This window comes from Homo sapiens, chromosome 12 (assembly GCF_000001405.40).
Source record: "Homo sapiens chromosome 12, GRCh38.p14 Primary Assembly".
Taxonomy (NCBI): Eukaryota; Metazoa; Chordata; class Mammalia; order Primates; family Hominidae; genus Homo; species Homo sapiens.
The window spans coordinates 46,500,686-46,525,303 of record NC_000012.12 but is presented as its reverse complement, the minus strand read 5'-3'; the positions used below and the strand labels follow the sequence as shown (position 1 = coordinate 46,525,303).

Below are 24,618 nucleotides of genomic sequence, written 5' to 3'. Positions count from 1 at the left end.
AAGGGCTAGGCCCTATTCCAGATATCTCCACAGCAACAGACCTTCTTTTGCATTTTAACTGTAGTCAGTGACTCCAAACCATTCCTCCTTGGGGAGAACATGAAGAACTCCTTGTCTGGTTTAGGATTTACACATCTGGGGAATCCTTGTCTTTACTAACCTGTTCCAGCTGCCCTGGTCCAGCTCTCCAGAGAACTCAATGTCACATGGGAGAATGAGGCACAGCTGCAGCTTGCAGTGAGCAGCTCCGCCAGGCAAACAGCCACCTCCCTTGTCAGAACAGAGAGAAACACCAGGCCCCTGGGGCTCTGTGCCAGAGGAATTTAGAATGTATTCCCCCTCTTGGGTCAGCCACTTCCCTGAGCCTAAAGGACTTCCCACGCCTGCTTTTCTCTGACCTCCCTGAGGAGTCACAGTTCCTCAACAAGCTAGCCACACTGATTTAGCATCCTTACCCACATGAACTATCTCCTACCCCTAGCCTCCTCCCATCTCCATCCCCAGTCTCTTTACTTGCTCTTTCCTATGCTTGGAAAAATCTGGCATAGTCCTTCCCATTCTGACCTTCTGCCCTGAAAGGCACAGATGGAGAAACACTTCTTCACTGAGCAATTACCTTGACAGCAGCCACATTTGGGGAGACAAGTAGAGACACCACCAGTTTTTAGGACTTCTCTACTTCTCCATAATTGGGTCCTTGTCATTAGGACTAAATCACCAAAACTGCCAGCAGCAGGGTGGTCAAGTCTCTCAGGAAAACTGTACTAGATATTCCTAATCTTTTCAAGAAAACCTGCTCTGCCCACTGGTCTGAAAGAGGCAGCTCTATCCTCCCATATGATCTTAACTGCATGGGCCATGACTGGATCATGATGAACAACTGACCAAAGAGAACTCAATCCGTTAGCTAGACAGTGGCTTATGACTCATGTGGTCCAGCTCAAACAGATGAGCTGGGCCAATCAGACCCTCACAAATTGTGTATCAAGACACACACAAGCCAGTTGCTATCAGTGCTGTCGGGAAGGCCACTGGAGTCATACGCAAGGTGAGTAAGCAGAGGAATTTGGTCAAGACGGGGCGGGAGGGAACAGAAGCATAGACAGAGGCAGAGATGGGAAGGCCACGATGATATGAAAAGATAGAGTAGCCCAGCTGTGCCTTCTAGCTCCCAGCCCCACCCTGTGAGGCTTACTCTACCTTTCATCTTTGCCCTATGACTTTCATTCAGTCTCCTTCTGGCGGAAGCTAGTTCAAACAAGGTTTCGTTTCTTTACAGTCAAAAGAATCTTAATGTAAGCAGTTTCTCCAGAATAGCTTCCTGTGTCTAAACATTTTTCCGGACGTGCTGCATTGTAGTCTGAGTCTCCTGTTAGTCAAAATAATAAATATAGCCATCACTTTCTGAATGCTTTCATTATGCCAGGCAGTGTGCTAAGAGCTTCATACATATTATCTCATTTTTTCTCATAGCGATGTAGTAGTAGTATCCCTGTTATACATGTAAGAAAACTAAGAATTAGAAAAGCTATGCAAAATTGCCCAAGGTCATGCACTTTCTAAGTGGGAGACCCAGCATCTGACTCTGTGCTCCTAACTATCCTTAGGATGTTGTCCTTTGTACAGTCAGACTGGCAGGATTAAGCATTGCAGCTGCAACCTGCAGGAATGTGGCTATAGGCTCCACAGGCCCTCCTGGGAGGGGCCAACATCCTAATGCCGTAAACCAACAAGGATGTCCAAGGTGGGACTAAGAATTATAGAGGCCACCACAGACACTGGTCACAACACCTACTCTCCCACCAGTGGGTCTCAAAAAAGATCAGAAGCATAAATCCCTTTTCCCATCTCCAGCTCATTACAGGATTCCAAGAGGAAATGTGAAAATGAAAACATGTTAGGAAGCCAGGCGCGGTGGCTCACGCCTGTAATCCCAACACTTTGGGAGGCCGAGGCAAGCGGATTACCTGAGGTCAGGAGTTCAAGACCAGCCTGGCCAACATGGTGAAACCCCCTCTCTACTAAAAATACAAAAATTAGCTGGACACTGTGGCATGCTCCTGTAATCTCAGCTACTCAGGAGGCTGAGGCACGAGAATCACTTGAACCTGGGAGGCAGAAGTTGCAGTGAGCAGAGATCACGCCACTGCACTCCAGCCTGGGCAACATACTCCACCTAAAAAAAAAAAAAAAAAAAAAAAGCAAGAAAGAAAGCAAGAAAAGAAAAAAAGAAAACATGTTAGGAAAGGCAGATGTGACTGCAAACTTACCTACAGCCCTGATGATTTTTTGAGGAACAATTCCTAAATATATTAAGTAATACAGAGGTAAACTTGATTTAAAAAAAAAATCTCCTTTATTTATCCCTTGGTAACCCTAAACATATTTTTAAATGAACATTTTCTAAATATAATGTCCTGGAGATTATTGTTAGGCTTCTGCTTCACTGATACACAATTCACAAAACTTATTTGTACAGGAAAAGATAAAAATCAATGCAGGTTGACAGTTAATAAAGTATAGATGGCAGCATGATATTTACTAAGTTGTCCAAGCCCCAATTCTGATCAAGCACTATTAGTTATCCTCCAGAGTATCTGCTAGGATAATAGAAATGACATTAAAAAAAGATGTCGTATTCAATAACACATTTACCTTTCCGGGACAGATAAATGACTGATATTGGGGGTCAGTGTATAACCCTCCTATGGGAAGAAAGACAATGATAAGTGCAAATAGCAATTAAATGTGCTCTAGAAGTTGTTGTGGTTTTGTTTTGTTGTTTTTTTTTTTTAAACTGGAGCTGTAATTACAGGGCTACTAAAGATGTGAAGTATATAGTTAAGGTTTTGTCAGCACTTTTATTGTAATACTTAGTGAGATTAGTCATTTTAGTTGTTCCCTTTGTATGCCAAAAATGGAAGACAGCTGTTTGTGCACTAAAAACTGCTTTTTAAAGGATAGTTCTCTCTGGTTATCAAGCATATTTTGCCATCAGGGAAACATATTTTAAAGCTTTTGCACTGTCAAAATGAAGTGTGTAGGAATGATTGCTTTAGCTGTTACTTCTAAATAACGACAGGAAGATCTAACATGTGGTAATACTGCACAAGGATGATACAAAGTATCTGGCTAGATTCACAACTATTCCAATTACTATCTCTTCCTGCAAGATGTATTTCTGATGGCACTCATCAGACCCTGAATTCATTCCCTGAGCTTGAGAGTGCTACAGAAGTGTTTAGGGCCAGTTCTGTGGCAGCCCTCATGGAAACAAAGAAAAGCCTAAGGGCTGGTAACCTGCATCACGACCAGCCCATCACCCAAGAACACAGCCAGCTTCTTTTGCAAGGTTGTACCTGTTAGTCAATCAAATCTAAATCTGAGAGTTGTGACTGACTTAGACCTATTCATCTTCCAAAGTATAAACCTTAAGAATTTGTTTCCACTAGTGCATTAAATATTTGCCATCTAACAGACCAAAAAGCCTGAAGCTTAACTAAATTTTAAATAAAGCTCATGTGTATCATTTGTTCTTAGTTGCAACATGTCAAGTTACCAAGAGAGGTAATATTTATCTCTCTTCTGTGGATGTTTTGAAGATCAACATCTTTTTTTTTCCAGAGGCACTCAATTATTTTTTTTCTCCTATTCAACCTATAACCTAATAGGAAATCTACTGCGCTGCTTTGCAGAATGAGTTTTTTTAATGGTCCTGACTCTTAAGGTTTTACTGTAGTTACTGAGTAAGACCTAAAAACATAAAACAATTAACCAACACTAATCAATGTACTAAAAGACGTCTGTGGCATGGATGGAGAGGTACAGCTCAGACCTGCTTTTAAGAGAAGAGTCACTGCCCATCTGTCAGGGCTGTGGGGAACAGACAACCTCCAGCTGTTAGCCTCTTCAGCTTGCAAGCCAAGGTCACACTCTTCTCAAGGTCACACTCTTGCCCAGACAGTAACTGAGCAAGGCAGTAGTACAGGACCTGGCCATTTACACCCAATGAGTGCTCCTCTAACAGGCTCTCTGCTACAGGACTCTTCACTGGACTGGCAGGAACTTTATCAGATCTGCATGCCATTTGATGGCTCCTGTGCCCAATCCTGCTCTTTTTCTTTCACCGCAATCACTTCTCAATAAACCTATTGCAGTCCTAACTATGTCTCAGAGTCTGCCTTCTGGAGATCCTGACCTGCAACAGGGTCAAAATATTAGCCAAAGTCAAGAAGGGGTTGGGACCAGGATTCTGCCATTATTAGAGGTGAAGAGGGTTTGGGAGAGGTATTAAAGTTCACCAGGGGAATTGTGACAATTAATGAGCTTTGAGCCCCACTGCCTTAAATGATACCTGCACGTGGAAGGCCAGGGAAGATCAGGAACCAGTGAAAGAGAGTTCTGATAAGACCACTCCAGTGTAAGTTAGGGAGGAAGGGCACTCGAGGAAGGAAGACGTGGTTCTCCACCATTCCTCTCCTGAGAAAGAGAGCTTTATAGTCATATTGTGGGCGAAATTCATATCTTGCACTAAGAAAAGTTCAATTGGAGTCCTAGCTCTCTCACTGATAATCCGTGTGACATTGGACAGGCCACTTTACTTCCCTGGATGTCCTTCTTTCACTAGGTCTGATGCTGATTCTCCTGCCCCCCTCACAGGGCAGTGATGTGGAACCAAGTGAGACAGTGCACAGAAAAGCATTTTATTGGCTGAACAGCCCTGTGATAACTACGAGAGGGTAAGGTCTTGTTACCATGGTACATATGAAGGGCTAGGAGGAAGAATATAAGATGGTGGCCAAGGGGTACCACCACCACCTCCTTCAGACACCAAGGGAGGGTGTGCAGAGCTCATCCCTTCTGAGGATGTCCACTCTCCCACTCCTCAGCATTGGACCCGAAGTCTAAGGACTTACGCTGTAGATACATTTAGCAAATCTCTTCCTTTTCAAATGTGTATCATTTATTCATTTTATTATTTTCTTCCTGACATATTTATAATTTAATCTGGTAATGTTAGGACAAAATATACACTCAACAAATATTTGGGCTGAACTGAGTTGATCCCTTAGTTTATTCTAGAGGTCTTTAAATGTTTTGTGATGCTTTCACAAGCTGCTTTTTAATATGGTAACGGACTGTTCTTTATATTAGAGTGAATGTCACTAGGTGTTAAAGAACATATTAGCTACCACATTCAACAGGAGAGAATAGCTTAGGACTGCAGGAAAATAAATATTCATAGCCTTTAGCTTGTATTTCATGAATTTTTTAGAGACAAAATTACCTGTGACGTTGTTAGTTCCTATGATGTATAAATTGCATTCTGGACATAGGGGTGGGGAGACAGATAATGCCTTTTATTTTGTTTTTGTTTTGTTTTTCTTTTTTGTGTTCAGTGTCTCTTTCCCAATTTCTTCTGATAATAACACTCCCACTTTGGGCAGAGACTACACTCCCTATCCCCAGTTAGTTCTAGTGGAATTGCCAATCACAGTAACTATGGTTGGCCAGGATGGGCCCACAACCAGGATGGGCTCCATCATGGCACTCATCCCCCTGGTCTACGTGACTGACCCAATAAAGTAGACACAACTCAAGCCAGCTAATTGAGTTAACTTATAGATGGACATTTAAAAAGTGGCATTCTTTTCATGCTCTGTAGGATGAAGGGTGGGCTGGTGTAAACTTACAGCTACCTGGGGTCAAACTCCTCCTTTTCCTCACCACACAAAAGTCTGTGTGCACTGGGAGCAAATGAGGTCAAATTCCAAAAGCAGAAAAGAGGCAACAAAGGAGAAAGACAGGGTGATGGGGGAGGAGAAGAAAGAAAAAGAGGCAGGTTTAGAGAGAGGGAAAGAAGGAGAAGGAAAGAGACAGGGGTTATAGAAAGAGAGGCAGAGAGATGGTTATAGAGAAGAAAGAAGAGAAAGGGTGTAATACAGAAGAGGAGTGAGGGAGAAGAGGAAAGAGGACAGAGGGAGTTCAAAAGAGAGAGAAGAGGAGAGGAAAGAAAAGAAGAAAAGAGGAAAGAAGAGAAAGAAAAGAAAAGATGACTGAGAACAGTGTATAAATATACTACAGAATTGACAAAGTGAAATGTTTCAGTATTATCATGTTGACTTACTTGCTAAACCCCAAAAGAACACTGAGAAAGTACATTTTGTGATTGAGAAAATAACATACTTTTCTAGACTGGAGGGTACAAATAATCACATAGCAATTTTAGGATCATTAACTTGAAAACTTTTGAAACACTACACAAAATGAGCGACATTACTATTTTTCCACATGTGATTAAGTAATTAGGATTCTTCAGTCAGAAACTATGTCCCTGTATTGCTGTAAGTGCCTTCAGCATAGCAAGTAAACAATGTTGTGAAATTAACGTGGAATGGATGGACAGAATAAACACAGTGAAATTTGGAGGTTCTCGAATCACATCCCCAAGGCTGCAGCTAAGGCATTACAACAAAGTGAGAGAACACATCTGTCTTTGGCTTTCTCAGCCTCCTCTTTCTGGACACTTTTGTCCCTTTTTGGTACCCCATCCCCCAATATTTTTCCCACCTCTCATATAATAAAACCTGCCTTCAAAAGACAAATTGACACTCCTGATAGTGTTGTAAAGGGCCAGTAGAACTTAATGGTCCATTCTTCATAGGGTCCTTCTAAGGGTCATTTTAAAAGGAGAACAAAGAAGCAAAGTTTTCAAGTCACAAAAATAAATATTTAATTCTGGAATTTCTGGCCTAAGTTAGCAAATGCTGGGAGCATTTGGGAGGATGGCACAGGAAGGAATGGGCCTCCTGGGACTCCCCTGGTCACATGGGTGGCTATCTACATGCTAGTCCTGGGTGCCAGTAACACAAAGTCAGGGTTCAGGCTAAGAATTTCTAAAATTCTGACCACTGGGCCCTCAAAGGAAGCCAATCTGCTTACATCTGATTTCAGTTGCTTATGTTTTGCATTTTTCTTGTAGAAAAATAAAGAGTTATTTTGGTCACATTATGCCACTGAAATCACAGAATGTTTTCCAATGCTTTTAATGACCACCCTGAAAAGAACAAATTTATCACTGTCTCACAACTTCAGAGAGTTTTTCAGAAACTATAAACAAAATATTTCATAATAAACTCTCTCTCTCTCTCACACACACACACACACACACACACACACACACACCCCACAAAGGAAGGAGTAACTAAAAATGCTCCATTCATCAATGATCAATTTTGGTCTTACTATAGAATTCTTTTAGTGTGCATTTTCCTTGATTTACTGGTGAGTAAAAGCATGCCTTCCTTTAAGGATTTCCATGTATTTTCTGCTTTTAGGCTAGTGATGGTATAAAATGTTTATCTTGGTTGCCAACTCCTGTGGATTGTTAGTGGCTGACTAAAGCCCTACGTTGACAAAGTTGCTGAAGCCATGTCCAGGTACAATGAGAAAAAAAGTACTATAATTGATTCTCATGTTTGCCATGCATGCAGAGGGAAAAATAATCACATGCCATCAACTGTTTTTGCCACTTGTCATACACTGCCCCCTCTACTGGTCCCCCTTGAAGTAATCCCTCTTCCAAACTAGTTCATACTTTAACCTTAGAGTAGAGAATAAAACCAGGTCTAATCTAATTAATATTTCACATTTTCTTGATCATAATGATAGTTTTATGGATACTCAAATAATCCAGTTAGAGGCAGTAAGACTTTAGTGGGGGATGCCACACCAAAGACTCTCAAATTTTGTCTGCAGCATTTCAGCTTGGGAGGCTTTTATGGTTTCTAGTAACTATATTGCAACCAGGAGAGAAAGATCACCTGAAAATGAAACCAACCCAGAGGTAGTGGAAACAAAACTGATGAGAGGAACTCTCCAAGGCATGTCATTAAGCCCTATTGAAAACTAGGCTTAAGCTACATAGAAATGTAGTGGGGGTGGAGTGGCCAAGATGGCCAACTAGAAGCAGCTAGCATGTGTGGCTCTCACGGAGAGGAATAGAGGGGCGAGTAAAAACAATACCTTCAACTGAAACATGCAAGTACTCGCATTAGGATTAACCAAGGAAACAACCTGACACACAGAAAACAAAGAAAAGCAGGACACTGAACAACGGCCCACTGGGGAACAGCACAGAGCCAGGGGATCCTCCCCAGTCCTAGAAAGCAGTGAGTGAATGAGTGACCCTGGGATCGCTTCTCCAACAGATCTTTGCAACCCTTGGCTCAGGAGATCTCCCTGTGAACCCACACCACCAGGGCCTTCAGTCTTCAGTCTGACAGAGCCATCTGGATTCTCACCAGAACAGCCACTCAGGCATGTGTGGAGAACGTGGAGGTTTAGGTGCTTGGGCTTTCTGGCAAAAGTAGCTGCAGCTCTGGCAAAATCGGAGGTTAGATTCCTGTACCTACCCTTAGGAAAGAGGCTGAATCCAGGGGGCTGAGCAGGAACAGTCCACAGGCCCCACATCCTCACCACCTCACAAGCTAAGACCCACTGGCTTGAAATTCCAGCCGGCTACCAGCAGCAGCATTGCACCTCCCTAAGAAGGAGCTTCTTGGGGAGGAGTGGGCTGCCATCTTTGCTGTTTGAGTGCCTTAGTCGTTCCAGCCTTCAGGTTTTGGAAAGTCTGAGCCAATCCAGGGCAGAAGAGATCCCCTAGCACAGCACAGCTGCTCTACCAAAACATGGCCAGTCTGCTGCTTTAAGCAGGTGCCCGATCCTGTTCCTCCTCACGAGTGGGGCCTCCCAATCAGGACCTCCAGCCACTCCCACCTGAGCTCTCCAGCCAAAAGAACTGTGAATTCCCCCTGGGAGGGTGCTCCCAGAGGGAGGGGCAGGCTGTTATCTTTGCTGTTTGGGCAACTTAACTGTTCCAGCCTTTGGGCTTCAGAGTACCTGAGGTGACCAAGGGCTGAAGTGAACCCTCAGCACAATGCAGCTATTCTATCAAAACAAGGCCAGACTGCTTTTTTAAGTGGGTCCCAATCCTGTTCCTCCTCACAAGGTGAGACCTCTCAACCAGGGTCCCCAGCCACTTCCTACAAGTGTCTTTGGGCTGACAACAGGTTCGTACCTCCCTGGGATAAAGCTTCCAGGGGAAGGGACAGGCTACCATCTTTGCTGTTTCACAGGCTTCATTGGTGACACCTCTAGGTTTTGCGAAATCCAAGGTGACTAGGAACTGGAGCAGGCCTGAAGCATACCATAGCAGCCCTATGGAAAAGTGGCCAGACTGTTACATGGGTGACTGTTTCCATATCTCTTCACTATGCAGGTCCTCCAGGCCTGGGCCTCCAGCCACCTCCTGTCAGAGCTAATCAAGCCAGCACCAACTCAGCAACTCCCTGGACAGACCCTCCAGGAGCAACTGAAAGCCTCTCAGTAGAGAACTGCCCTTGCTACCCTCAGACTAATAAAGGAGGAAAGACCCTAAGTGCCTTATCCACACCTCCAACAAGCTGCAGTTAATCCAAGGAGAGGCCAGTCTGTCTCCCACGGGTCCCACACCATCCTCCCTCCATGGCTAGTCACCAGACAGGGAATCTCTGGCTTGGGCTCACAGCACAGACCCTCCATCTTGGGCTGACTGTACTGAGTGATTGCTAACCTGCATCTTCCTGGGGTGGAGCCCCCAGGAGTCAATAAAATGACCCTTGGCCACACCACCACTAAGATCTCTTCCTCTATGGCCTCTAAGCTGAGGAAGGAATATAAACACTGAGATTGCCCCAGAGCTGCAGTGAGCAGCCCAGAAGTGCCAAGTCACGAACTACAGCCAGAACTAAAGGGTGGAGAGGTATCCACACTTTCAGAGCACTAAGAGGTAAAACAGCTCCAACTGTGAGGAAACATAGGGAAACCACCCAACCAAGCAAGAGTCTACCAACTGACCAATAGGCCTAAGTGTCACCTTCTGGATCACACTCCAAAGCTTCAACACCAAAAATATCTCACTAACATAACCCCTTCTGAAACCAGAGACAAGAAGTCAGCTTCAAATAAAGACCCTCACAAAGCCTTGGCCTAGTGAAAACATCCAGAAAAGAAGTCTATTTGACTGTATTCATCTACACTACAGTTAAAGGAACACCCACATGCAGAGATGAGAAAGAATCAATGCAAGAACTCTAGTAACTCAAATGGCCAGAGCGTCCTACATCCTCCAAATAACAGCACCAGTTCTCCAACAAGAGCTCTTAACCAAGCAAGCTCGAACTTGCTGGAATGACAGAAATAGAATTCAGAATATGGATAGGAATGAAGATCATCAAGATTCAGGAGGATGGCAAAACCCAATCCAAGGAAAATAAGAATCACATTAAAGTGATACAGAAGTTGAAGGATAAAACAGCCAGTATAAGAAAAGAACCTAATGAGTCTGAAAGAGCTAAATAACACAATACAAGACATTCACAATTCAATCACAAGTATTAACAGCAGAATAAACCAAGCTAAGGGAAGAATCTCAGAACTTGAAGACTGGCTTTCTGAAACAAGACAGTCAAAAATAAGGAAAAAAAAAAAACTAAAAAGGAATGAACAAAACCTCCAAAAAAGTATGAGATTATATAAAGAGGCAAAATCCACAAATCAATGGCATCCCTGAAAGGGAGGAGGAGAAAGCAAACAACTTGGAAAACATATTTCAGGATATCATCCATGAAAATTTCCCCAACCTTGCTAAAGAGGCCAACAGTCAAATTCAGGAAATACAGAGAACTCCTGCAAGATTCTACACAAGAAGATCATTCCCAAGACACATAATTGTTAGATTTTCAAAGGTCAAAATGAAAGACTGTTAAAGGCAGCTAGAGAGAAAGGGCAGGTTACCTACAAAGGGATCCCCATCAGGCTAACAGTGGACCTCTCAGCTGAAACCCTACAAGCCAGAGAGATTGAGGGCCTATATTTAACATTCTTAAAGAAAAAAATCTTCAACCAAGAACTTCATATGCAGCCAAACTAAACTCCCTAAGTGATGGAGAAATAAGATCCTTTTCAGATAAGAAAATGTTGAAGGACTTCATTACCACCAGATCTGTCTTACAAGAGATCTTGAGAGAAGCACTAAATATAAAAAGGAAAGATCACTACCAGCTAATCCAAAAATACATGTAAACACACAGACCAGTGTCACTGTAAAGCAGCCACACAGTAAGCCAACATAATAACCAGCTAACAGCACAATGACAGGATCAAATCCACACATATTAATATGAACCTGGAAAGTAAACAAGCTAAATGCCCCACTTAACAGGCATAGAGTGAGAAACTGGATAAAAAAGAAACATCTATGGTATGTATGCTGTCTTCAAGAGACCCATCTCACATGTAATGACAAAATAAAGGGATGGAGAAAAATCTACCGAGCAAATGAAAAACAGAAAAAAGCAGGGGTTGCAATCTTACTTTCAGACAAAACTCATTTCAGATCACAAAGATCAAAAAAGACAAGGAAGGGCATTACATAATGATAAAGGTTTCAATTCGACAAGAAGGCCTAACTATCCTAAATATATATGCACCCAACACAGGAGCACCCAGTTTTATAAAGCAAGCTCTTAGAGACCTACAAAGAGACATAGGCTCCCACACAGTAATAGTGGGAGACTTCAGCAGTCCACTGACAGCATTAGATGGAACATCCAGGCAGAAAATTAACAAAGACATTCAGGATGGTAACTCAGCATTGGACCAAACGGATCCAATAGACCTTTACAGAAGGTTCTACCCAAAACAACAGAATATACATTTATCTCATCACCACATGACACATACTTTAAAGTCAACCACATAATTGGACATAAAACAATCCTCAACAAATAGAACCAAAATCATACCAAACACATTCTCAGACCACAGTGCAATAAAAATACAAGTCAACACACTGAAAATTGCTCAAAATCATACAATTACATGGAAATTAAACAACGTGCTACTGAATGACTTCTGGGTAAATAATGAAGTTAAGGCAGAAATCAATAAGCTCTTTTAAAATAATGAGAACAAAGATACAACATATCAGAATCTCTGGGACACAGCTAAGGCAGGGTTAAGAGAGAAATTTATAGCACTAAATGCCCACATCAAAAAGCTAAAAAAAAAATCTCAAATTAACAACTTAACAACTGAAAGAATCAAAGAAGCGAGAACAAATTAACCCCAAAGCTAGCAGAAGATGAGAAATAACAAAAATCAGAGTTGAACTGGAGGAAATCAAGACAGAAAAATATTCAAAAGATCAACAAATCCAGGAGTTGTTTTTTTGAAAAAAAATCAATAAAATAGGCCACTACCTAGCCTACTTAAGAAGAAAAGAGAGAAGATTCAAATAAACACAATTAGAAGTAATGAAGCAAATGTTACAACTGACCCCACAGAAATGCAAACAATCATCAGAAACTACTATGAACATTTCTAAACACACAAACTAGAAAACCTAGAAGAGATGGATAAATTCCTGAACACATACACCCTCCCAAGACTGAGCCAGGAAGAAATTGATTCCCTGAACAGACCAATAATGAGCTCTGAAATTGAATCAGTAATAGCCTACCAACAAAAAAAAAAGCCCAGGACCTGATAGATTCACAGCCGATTTCTATAAGGTGTACAAGGAAGAGCTGGTACTATTCCTACAGAAACCATTCCAAAAAATTGAGGAGAAGGAACTTCTCTGCAACTATTTCTATGAGGCCAGCATCATTTGATACCAAAACCCAGCAGAACACAACAAATAAAGAAAACTTCAGGTCAGTACCCTTGATGAACATCAGTGCAAAAATTCTCAATAAAACACTTGCAAACCAAATCCAGCAGCACATCAAAAAGCTAATTCACCACAATCAAGTAGGCTTAATCCCCAGGATGGAAGGTGGGTTTGACACACAAATCAATAAATGTGATCCATCACATAAACAGAACTAAAGACAAAAACCACATGATTATCTCAATATATGCAGAAAAGGCTTTTGATAAAATCTAACATCCCTTCATGTTAAAAAAACTCTCAACAAACTAGGTATTGAAGGACCAAACCTCAAAATAATAAGAGCCATCTATGACAAACCCACAACCAACATTATACAAAATAAACATAAGGTGGAAGGGTTCACCTTGAAAACTGGCGCAAGACAAGGATGCCTTCTCTCACCACTTCTATTCAACGTAGTATTGGGAGTCCTAGTCAGAGTAATCAGGCCAGAGAAAGAAATAAAGGACATCCAAATAGGAAGAGAGAAAGTCAAACTATCTCTGTTTGCAGATGACATTATTCTATATCTAAAAAGCCCCATAGTCTCAGCCCAAAAAGCTCTTTCAACTGATAAACAACTTCAGCAAAGTTGCAGGATAAAAAAATCAATGTACAAAAATTACTATTATTCCTATACAACTACAACAACCAAACAGAACCAAATCAGAATGGCAATCCCATTCACAATTGCCATACACACACACAAAATAAAATACCTAGGAATACACCTAACCAGGAAAATGAAAGATCTCTACAATGAAACTTACAAAACACTGTTCAAATAAATCAGAGAAGACACAAGCAAATGTAAAAGCATCCCCTTCTCATGGATAGAAAGAATCAATAGTATTAAAATGTCTACAGTGCCCAAAGCAATTTACAGATTCAATGCTATTCCTATAAAAATACCAATGACATTCTTCATAGAACTAGTAAAAATATTTTAAAATTTATATGGAACCAAAAAAGAGCCTGAATAGCCAAGGCAAGCCTAAGCAGAGGAGGAATCACATTACCTGACTTCAAACTATACCACAAAGCTACAATGACCAAAACAGCACGTTACTGGTACAAAAACAGACACACAGACCAATGGAACAGAATAGAGAGCCCAGAAATAAGGCTGAACATCTACAACCATTTGATCTTTAACAAAGCTGACAAAAACAAGCAATGGAGGAAAGACCTTATTCAATAAATGGTGCTGGGATAACCAGCTAGCCATATGCAGAAGATTGAAGATGGACGCATTCCTTATGCCATATACAAAAATCATCTCAAGATGGATTAAAGACTTAAATGTGAAACCCAAAACTATAAAAACCCTGAAAGACAACCTAGGCAATGGCATACTGGACTCAGGAATAGGCAAAGATTTCACGACAAAGACACCAAAAGAAATCACAACAAAAGCAAAAATTGACAAATGGGATCTAATTAAATTTAAGAGCTTCTGCATTGCAAAAGAAACTATCAGCAGAGTAAACAGACAACCTACAGAATGGGAGAAAAATATTTGCAAACTATGCATCTGACAAAGGTCTAATATCCAGCATCTTTAAAAAACTTAATGATATTTACAAGAGAAAAACAAACAACCCCATTAAAAAGTGAGCAAAGGACATGAACAGACACTTCTCAAAAGAAGACATACATGCAAACAACAAACATATGAAAAAAAGCTCAATATCACTCATCATTAGAGAAATGCACATAAAAACCACAATGAACTACCATCTCACACCAGTCAGAACGGCTATTGTTAAAAAGTCAAAACATAACAGATGCTGGTGAGGTTGTGGAGAAAAGGGAACCTTTACACACTGTTGATGGGAGTGTAAATTAGTTCAACCATTGTGGAAAGCAGTATGGTGATTCCTCAAAGAGCTAAAAGCAGAACTACCATTTAACCCAGCAGTCCCATTACAGGGTATATACCCTGAGGAATATAAAGCATTCCACCATAAAGACACATGCATGCAAATGTTCATTGCTGCACTGTTCACAAGAGCAAAGACATGGAATCAACCTAAATGCTCATCAATGACAAATTGGATAAAGAAAATGTGGTAGATATACACCATGGAATATTATGCAGCCATAAAAAAGAATGAGATTATGTCCTTTGAGGGAACATGGATGGAGCTGGAAGCTATCATCCTTAGCAAACTAATGCAGCAAGAGAAAACCAAATACTGCATGTTCTCACTTATAAGTAGGAGCTAAATGATAAGAACTTGTGAACACAAAGAAGGAAACAACAAATACTGGGGTCTACTTGAGGAGGGAGAAGAGCAGAAAAGAGAACTATTAGGTGCTAAGCATAATATAATACCTGAGTGACATAACAACAACAAACAAACCCCTGTGACATGTGTTTATCTATGTAACTGTGAACCCCAAAAACCTGAGACAGGTCTCATTTAATTTTAAAAAGTTTATTTTGCCAAGGTTGAGGCCACACACCTGTGACACAGCCTCAGGAGGTCCTGACACCATACGCCCAAGATGGTCAGAGCACAGTTTGGTTTTACACATTCTAGGGAGACATGAGACAACAATCAACATATTCAAGATGGACATTGATTCGATCTGGAAAGATGGGACAACTCAAAGGCAGGAAAACTCAAATCAGGGAGGAGGCTAGGTCATAGGTAGCTAAGAGACAAATGGTTGCATTCTTTTGAGTTTCTGATTAGCCTGTCCAAAGGAGGCAATAAGATATGCATTTATCTCAGTGAGCAGAGGGGTGACTTTGAATAGAATGGGGGGCAGGTTGGCCCTAAGCAGTTCCCAGCTTGACTTTTCCCTTTAGCTTAGTGATGTGGGGGCCCAAAGATCTATTTTCCTTTCACATAGCAAACCTTCATATGTACCTCCAAACCTTAAATATTTTGAAAAAAAATTTAGAGGTCTCTTCCGCAATTCTGGGACCACAAATGCCAGAAAACTTCCAAATACTTCACCCTCACAAAAGTATGAGCTTTAAGATCTGGACTTTGCCCTACTGGATATCTCCATTCCATTCTAAGAAATAGGAAGGAATTGCTAAAATATGAGGGGTTTCTGACAATAAACCTCAATATAATCAGTGAATACTTCCTGAGCACCTGCCTTTTGTCATGCTCTGGTCAAGGAACTGAGTGTAGAGATGAATATAAAATGTAATCTCTGACATCAGTGATTTCATTAGGTAGCACAGGACACTAAGCCAGTATCTGCCACTTTATCAGCCTTCCAGCTATGTCTGCTCTAGCCTTTAAATCAGAGTGTGTCCAGATAATAAATCAAATGTTTACACGTGTGGAAGGAAAGAGTACCAGTAGGGATTTTTTTTACTCTTAATCACTCATTTGAGCACACATAGTACCTGGAAAGAAAAAAGAAATCTCTTTTCTGTCTTTGCATCACCAGAAATTTGCCTTGCAGGATCTGGTATAGTCTAGCTGGCCAGGGGATAATGGTGGTTTGGGTTGGAAGAGGAGGAAGGGTTTCCTCCGTAGTTTAGGTTTGCTTCAGTTTCACCAGTGATTGTTCTCAAAGGTCCCGATAACAGAACCTCTCAACATCTTTCCCCTAAAGAAACTATGATAACCTTGTATCTTTATGACATGACCACTTACGCATCCCAATAAAACTGAGAGAAATAATAGCTTTCTTTAACGCTTCTCTAAGAGAACTCTTGTCTACTCTCATTGACTCCCAGATATACATCTCTATCCCAGATCCTTCTCCTGATCACCAGACCTATAATGACTGGTGGACACCTCTATGTGACTGTCATGTGGCTGCTTAAAGTTCACCATGCCATAGACTGAACTCACTGTTTCTACCCCACCTTGATCTTTCTATTCTCGGTGACTAGCCGCATTGTTCACTGGTTCCATCCTCTTCCTCATTCTTTATTCAGTACTCTTCATTTCCTATGAAATAACCCCATAATGCCCTACTGACTTCTTGTATTCATCCACTTCTTTCAATCACCACTAGCACTACTTTGGTTCAGTCCACTGCTCTCTTTTGGATTGTTGCTATTCTCCCAATTAGTGTCTCCACTTCTAGTCTTACCTGCTCTAGTCCAGTCTCCAAAGTCATTTTTATAATTTAAAAATCTGAGTATGTATCCTCCATTTGAAGCACTTTAATAGGACCCCCTTTATCTTCAAATAAAGTCCTTCACATAAATCACCACGCTTTCATTATATGACCTGTTCATCTCTCCAGCTTCACATAGTGACACTCCCCACCTTATTGTCCATAATCCATACTATTCCAATTGTAGTTCTCCCAGTGGAAAAAAAAAATTCTATTGCCTCTGGAATTTTTCACATGCTGGCCAAAATATTTATTCTTTGTCTTTTTTATCTGTGCTCTCTCCCAGTTCCACTTTCCTTTTTTCCTGCTTACTCTTGCAAAAAAAATCCTCCCTGATACCTAGAGGACTACATCTGTGTTGGTGTCTCTGAAATTTACTCCCATAGGGTGCTTGACTTACCCAATATTGTAGCCCAAACCCACTGAACTGACTGTAAATGCTTTGGAAGGTGAACCATGACATGTTTGTTGTTAATTTCCTGATGACTAACATACAGGATGGCACAGAATCAGACATCAAGAAAGATGAATCAAAAGAGAATGACATCAGTAAGATGGCAGAGTAGGAAGCCCTGGACCCTCCTTCTACCTACAAACACAAATTCAGCAACAATTTATGGACAAATTCCCTTTGTGAGAAATCAAAAACTAATTAAAAAGCTCCTGCACTCTGGAACAGCATAAAAACAGACATAGCAAAGCCTGTGGACAGATTCAGGATACTGTCTTGTCAGAGACCCTTGCCCCCAGTGCAGGGCCATACATTCAGGAAGAAACCCTGTAGCTTCCAGCTTCATGCAGTCGAGGTAAGGAGCTGGTTGCACATTCAGCACCCCAACATTTCCAAGGGAGTCCCCAGAGGTTTGCCTTCTTTCTTGCTAGACCTGGTGCTCTAATGGGTCTGGTATAGTCTAGCTGGCCAGGGGATAATGGAGGTGGTGGCTTGGGTTGGTAGACAACATTGATTTCCTTCTCCCCCAACTCCAGTTGGCACAGAGTGAGCAGATGAAAACTTTCAGCCCTCAGCTTCCCCCAGGGAGGAAAAGAGCTGATCTGTGCAACCAGAGCTCCAACTTCTCCAGGGCTGCTCAAACTATTGGCATCTGTTTCACCAGTCTTGAAGCTCTGATGTGTGCAGTACAGTCTAACTACCCAGGAGAGAACAAATATGCCAATTTGGGTTGGTAGATGCTATAGTTTGACCACCCCACTCCACTCTCCAGCTCAGCACAGAAAGAGTGAACAAAGCCATAGCTCCTGCTTCTCCCTGGGGAAGTAAAGAGGTAGTAGATGTCCATAAGAATCACTGGCTGGGCTGATGGGGGGTTGGGGGTGTATTTTCCTGTATGAAGCCAGTTCATGAAGACTGTGATAGCTGCCTGTTTTGTCTAATAACCCTCGGATATCAACACAGGGAGTCAAGGAAATTAAATAATTGGGCAAAGATATTTTTAAAAAGGGAATTAAGATACATTTCCAAAGACTAACCCTAATGAACTGGAGTTACAACTTCATGAAGATGTGGACTGAGTCAGTAAAACATGCATTTAAAAAGTGAGGATTTCAACAGAGAGATAAAACATATTTTAAAGTGCCAAATAGAAATAGAAATGCATAATAGATGAGCCAAATATTCACTGGAGGGGTTCAACAGCAGACTAGATCATGCAGCAGAAAGGATCAGTGAACCCAAGCACAGGTCACTAGAAATAATTCAGTCAAAGAAACAATAAGAATTAAAAGAAAAAATGGAGAAACTTAAGGGACTTATGGATCACCATCAAGTGGGCCAACATACATATTAGGGATATTTTAGAAGGAGGAGAGAGAAAGGACCAGAAAGATTGTTCAAAGAAATAATGGCTGAAAACTTACCAAATCTTGGGAAGAAAATGGACATTCAGATCTAAGAAATTCAAAAGACACCAAATAAGATAAACCCAAAGAAATACATACAAATTTGTAATCAAGTTGTTAAAAGTCAAAGACAAAGAGAACTTTAAAAACAGCAAGAGAAAAGTGACTTGTCACGTACAAGAGAACTCTATAAGACTACCGGTGGGTTTTTAAGCAGAAAGTTTTCAGGTCAGAAGGGAGTGGGATCATATATTCAATATGCTGAAAAAAAACTGTCAGTGAAGAATACTATACTCAAAAAATTTTTCTATAAAAGTGACACAGAGTAGGAGGATTCTGGAAAGGTGGTAGAGTAGGAAGCACTAGGAATAGTAATCTGTTTCCCCATCTACACAAAAATTACCCTGGACTAATCTGTCTAATGTAATTATTTTGGAACTCCAAAGTTCATTGAAGGCTTGCAACTTCCAGCAGAAGGTTTGGATGATAAATATGGTTAATGTCAGTCAATTTCAGCTCTTAACACAGTAACAGCTACCCATCTCCACCCATACTCTCTCCCCGTGGGAGGTAGCCAGCACATGATCCTGGAGTAACTTTCACAAAGCTTTTGGGAGTCATGGTACCAAATATCTGGTATCTGTGCTGTGATTTCTGATTGCTGCTTCTGATCACAACAGCGTAGACAAGGAGGTAGTGGCTATTGTTGGACTTCCCTCCATTGTTGCAAGCCCCATCCTTTCTGGATAAAGTGACTTCCAGGGCATGTCACTAATCATCTGGGAAGTGCATACTAAACCACATTAAAATGTCACCTCACACCTGCTAGAATGACTATTATCCAAAAAAAAAAAAAATATATATATATATATATATGTATATACACACATATATATAAAACAAGTGTTGGTGAGGATGTGGAAAAATTGGAACCATTTTACATGGTTGGTGGAAACAAATTAATACAGGCATTATGAAAACAATATGGAGACCTAAAAAAATTAAAAACAGAGCGATCACATGTTTCAGCAATCCCACTACTGAGTACATGTCCAAAGGAAAGAAAATCAGTATGTCAAAGGAGTATCTGCATTCCCATGTTCATTGCCGCACTATTCACAATAGCCAAGGTATAAAATTTACCTAAGTGTTCATCAGTAGATAAATGGATAATGAAAATATGGTGTATATACACAATGGAATATTATTCAGCCTTAAAAAGAAGAAAATTACATCATTTGTAATAAAATGGAGGAAGCTGGAAGACATTACATTAAGTGAAATAAGCCAGTCACAGAAAGACAAACACTGCATGATATTACTTATATGTAGAGTGTAAGAAAGTCAAACTCATAGAAACGGAGAGTAAAATGGTGGTTTCCAGAGGCTGAGGGGTGGAGAAAATTAGGAAGATGTTAGTCAAAACACACAAAATTTCAGTGAGACAGCAGGAATAAGTTCAAGAGATTTATCATACATCACAGAGACTACAGTTAATAACAATATATTGTATACTTGAAAATTGCTAAGAGATTAAAGTGTTCTCATCACAAAAAAAATTATAAGTATGTGAGGTAATGCATATGTTCAATAGCTTGATTTAGCCATTCCCTAATGAATACATATATCAAAACATAGTGTTGTACACCATAAATATTTATAATTTTTACTTGTTAATTAAAATATTTTTTAAAAGAAAAGACATTCTGACATATGCTACAAAATAAATCAACCTGAAAACGTTATGCTAAGTGAAATAAACCAGTCACAAAGACAACTATTGTAGGTTTCAATTTATATGGAGTATTTAAAGTAGTCAAAATCATAGAGACATAAAGTAGAATGGTGGTTGCCAGGGGCTAGGGAGTGAAGGGAATGGGGAGTTATTGTTTAATGGGTATAGAGTTTCAGTTTTGCAAGATTAAAAGTGTTCTGGAAATGAATAGATGATGATAGATGTACAACAATATGAGTGTACTTAATACCACTGAATGTACACTAAAAATGGTTAAGAAGGTAAATTTTATGTTACATGGATTTTAACACAATAAAAAATTGAAAAAAATAAAAGTAGGTATAAAGACTTTCCCAGACAAACAAAAGTTCAGAGAGTTCATCTTCAGTAGACCTGCCTTACAAGAAATGGTAGAGTTCTTAGAGTTGAAACAAAAGGACACTAACCAGTAACATGATAGCATAAGAAAAAGTAGAAAACTCATTGGTAAAGGTAAATATGTAGACAAATACAGAATACTGCATTACTGTAATGGGGTGGAAAATCACCCCATTAATTCTAGCATAAAAGCTAAAAGACAAAGTATGAAAAATAAATATAACTAAAACCATGATAAAAGATATACAATATGAATACACATAAATTGTGACAAGAATAATATATGAGGGGTTAAAGTGTAGAGTATGTGATTGAACTTAAGTTGTTATCAGCTTAAAATAGACTGCTATAACCATATTTTATGTAAGCCCCAAAGTATGTATGTAACCACAAAGAAGATTTTTTATGTAACCACAATAAAGTCCCTATAGAAATTACACAAAGAAAATAAAGAATAAAATCAAGCATATTATCTTAGTTTATTTGGGCTGCTATAACAAAATACCTTAGACTTGGCAATTTACAAATAACAGAAATTTATTGCTCACAGTTCTGCGGACTAGAAAGTCTGAGATCAAGGCATCAGCAGATTCAGTGTCTGGTGATGTGTCAGTCTCTGCTTCAAAGATGATGCTTGCTCACTGCACCCTCACATAGTAGAAGGGGTGAATAAGCTCCCTTAGGCCTCTTTTACAAAGGCACTAATCCATTCATTAGGGTGGAGCCCTCATTATCCAATCATCTCCCAAAGGCTCCACACTTTAATATTATTGAATTGGGTATTAGGATTCAACATATAAATTTTGGAGGGAAACAAACATTCAGATCATAGCACATATTAATGCAAAAACTTTACAAAACATAAAGAAAGACAGCAAGAGAGAAAAAGAAAAGGGAACTACAAGACTGAGAGAAAACAACTAGTAAATGCCTATAGTAAATCCTTTCCTATCAATATTACTTTAAATGTAAATTGATTAAATTCCCCCAATCAAAAGACAAACAGTGAGTAATGGACTTTTTTTAAAGACCCAACTATGTGCTGCCTACAAGAAACTCACTTTAGATATAAAAACACACATAAGTTGAAACTGAAGCCAAGAAAAAAGTATTCCATGCATATGGTAATCAAAAGAGAGTAGGAGTGGCTGTACTTATATCAGAAAAATAGACTTGAAGTCAAAAATTGTCAAAAGAGACAAAGAAGGACATTATATGATGAAAAGGGTCAGTCCATAGGCTGTAATACCAATATAAGAGCACTTAAATATATAAAATATTGACAAAACTGAAGGGAAAAACAGACAGCAATACAATAATAGTAGAATTCAGTACCCTACTTTCAATAATGAACAGAATATCCACACAGAAGATCAATAAACAGAGGACCTCAATCGCATTATAAAACAAATGGACCTAACAGACATGTACAGAACATTCCATCCAACAGCAGCATAATACACATTATTTTCAAGTACACATGATTCTTTCTGCAGAGCAGGTCACATGTTAGGTCACAAAATAAGTCAACAAATTTAAAAAGATTGAAATCTTACCAAAGATTGACCATTATGGTCAACCTTTTCTGACCACGATGGAATGAAACGAGAAATCAGTAGCAGAAGGAAAACTGAAAAATTCACAGATATATGGAAACTAAACAACATACTTATAAACAACAATTGAGTTACGAGGAAATCAAAAGGAAATTAGAAAATATCTCAATACAAATAAAAATGAAAACACAACATACCACTGCCTATAGGGTATAGCAAAAGCAGTAGTAAGAGAGAAGTTTATGGTGATGAACATCTACATTACAAAAGACAAAATGTCTCAAATAAACAACCTAACTTTATACCTCAAGGAACTAGGAAAAAACAATAAATTAGTTCCAAAGTTAGCAGAAGGTAGGAAATAACAGATTATTACCCAGAAATAAATGAGAGAGAAAATATAAAAACAATAGAAAAAAATCAATGAAACTGAGAGTTGGTTTTTTAAAAGATAAATAAAAGTGACAAACTTGTAGCTAGACTAAGAAAAAACACTCAAATAAATAAAATCAGAACTGGAAAGAGGAAACATTACAACTCTTGCCACAGAAATAAAAAGGATCCTAACAGACTGCTATGAACAATATCCAACAAACTGGATAACCTAGAAGAAATGATAAATTCCTAGAAACATATAACCTACCAATACTAAACCATAAGGAAATATAAAGTCAAAACCGACACATAACTAGTATGGAGATTGAATCAGTAATCAAAAACCTCCCCAAAAATCAAGCTCAATACCTGTAGAGTCACTGGTAAACTCTATCAAACATTTAAAGAAGAATTAATGCCACTCCTTCTCAAACTCTTCCAAAAAATTAAAGAGGAGAGAACACTTCCAAACTTATTTTATGAGGCTAGCATTACCTTGATTCCAAAGCCAGACAAAGACAACACAAGAAAGAAAACCTACAGGCCAATATTCTCAATGAATATAGATGCAAAAAAGCCTCAACAAAATACTAGCAAACTGAATTCAATGGCACATTAAAGGGATTATACACCATGACCATATGAGACTTATCCCAGAGATGTAAGGATGGCTTAATGTCGAAAAAGCAAGTAATTTAATATACTACATTGACATAATAAAAAATAAAATCACATCATCATTTTAATAGATGCAGGAAAGGCATGTGACAAAATTTGACATTGTTTCATGAAAAAAACTGTCAACATACTAGGTATAGGAGGAATCTACTTCAACATTATAAAGGTCATATATAAAAAGTCCATAGCTCACATTATACTCAATGGTGAAAAACTGAAAGCTTTTCCTCTAAGATGAGAAACATGGCAAGGATGCCCACTCTTGCCAGTTCTATTCAACATAGCACTAGAAGTCCTAGCCAGAGAAATTAGACAAGAAAAAATAAACATAAAGATTCAAACTGGAAAGGAAGAAGTAAAATTATTCCTATTTGCAGATGACATTATGTTATATAGAGAAAACTTTAAAGACTCAATTTTAAAAAAAAAACTGTTAGAATAAGCAGTTAATAATAATAAATAAATTCAGTAAAGTTGCAGTTAACATACAAAACTTAGTAGTATTCCTATATACCAACAACAAAATAAATTGTTAGAATAAACAGTTAACAGTAATAAATTCAGTAAAGTTGTAGTCAACATACAAAACTTAATAGCATTCTGATACACTAACAACAAATATCTGAAAAGAAATTTAAGAAAACAATTTCACTCATAATAGTGTCAAAAAGAATAAAATACATAAAGATAAACTTAACTACAAGGTGGAAAACTTATACTGAAAACTACAAAATATTGATGAAAGAAAACTAAACAAGACACAAACAACTGGAAAGCACTCCATGTTTATGGATTAGAAGAGTTAATATTGTTAAAATATTCATACTACCCAAGGCAAACTACACATTCAATGCACTCCCTATCAAAATCCCAATGGCATTTTTACAGCAATAGAAAATTTTTTTTATTCATGTGGAACTACAAAAGACCATAAACAGCTAAATCATTCTTGAGAAAGAAAAACAAAGCTGGAGGCATCATAGTTTTTGACTTCAAAATATGTTACAATGCTACAGTAATCAAAACAGTATGGTACTGGAATAAAAAAAGACATATAAACCAATGGAACACAATAGGGAATCCAGAAATAAATATATGCATATACAGTGAAATGATCTTCAACAAGAGTGCCAAGATACACAATAGGGAAAAGACAGTCTCTTCAATGGTGTGGGAAAACTGGA

At 39.2% G+C, this 24,618-nt stretch overlaps 1 long non-coding RNA gene across 5 annotated transcripts in view, besides 3 other annotated features; it reads right to left on the bottom strand.

Moving 5' to 3' along the window:
* SLC38A4-AS1 (SLC38A4 antisense RNA 1) overlaps nucleotides 1-24,618 on the bottom strand; it is a 268,904-nt gene that overhangs the window by 127,276 nt on the left and 117,010 nt on the right. The gene's annotated exons all lie outside the window — the stretch shown is intronic.
* Nucleotides 7,711-7,890: an enhancer, noted in NCBI's record as "active region_6252". NCBI's record gives its function as "activates an Ori minimal core promoter by ATAC-STARR-seq in GM12878 lymphoblastoid cells {active_cell/tissue: GM12878}" and the evidence as "EXISTENCE:reporter gene assay evidence [ECO:0000049][PMID:35858748]".
* Nucleotides 8,061-8,150: an enhancer, noted in NCBI's record as "active region_6251". NCBI's record gives its function as "activates an Ori minimal core promoter by ATAC-STARR-seq in GM12878 lymphoblastoid cells {active_cell/tissue: GM12878}" and the evidence as "EXISTENCE:reporter gene assay evidence [ECO:0000049][PMID:35858748]".
* Nucleotides 8,341-8,390: an enhancer, noted in NCBI's record as "active region_6250". NCBI's record gives its function as "activates an Ori minimal core promoter by ATAC-STARR-seq in GM12878 lymphoblastoid cells {active_cell/tissue: GM12878}" and the evidence as "EXISTENCE:reporter gene assay evidence [ECO:0000049][PMID:35858748]".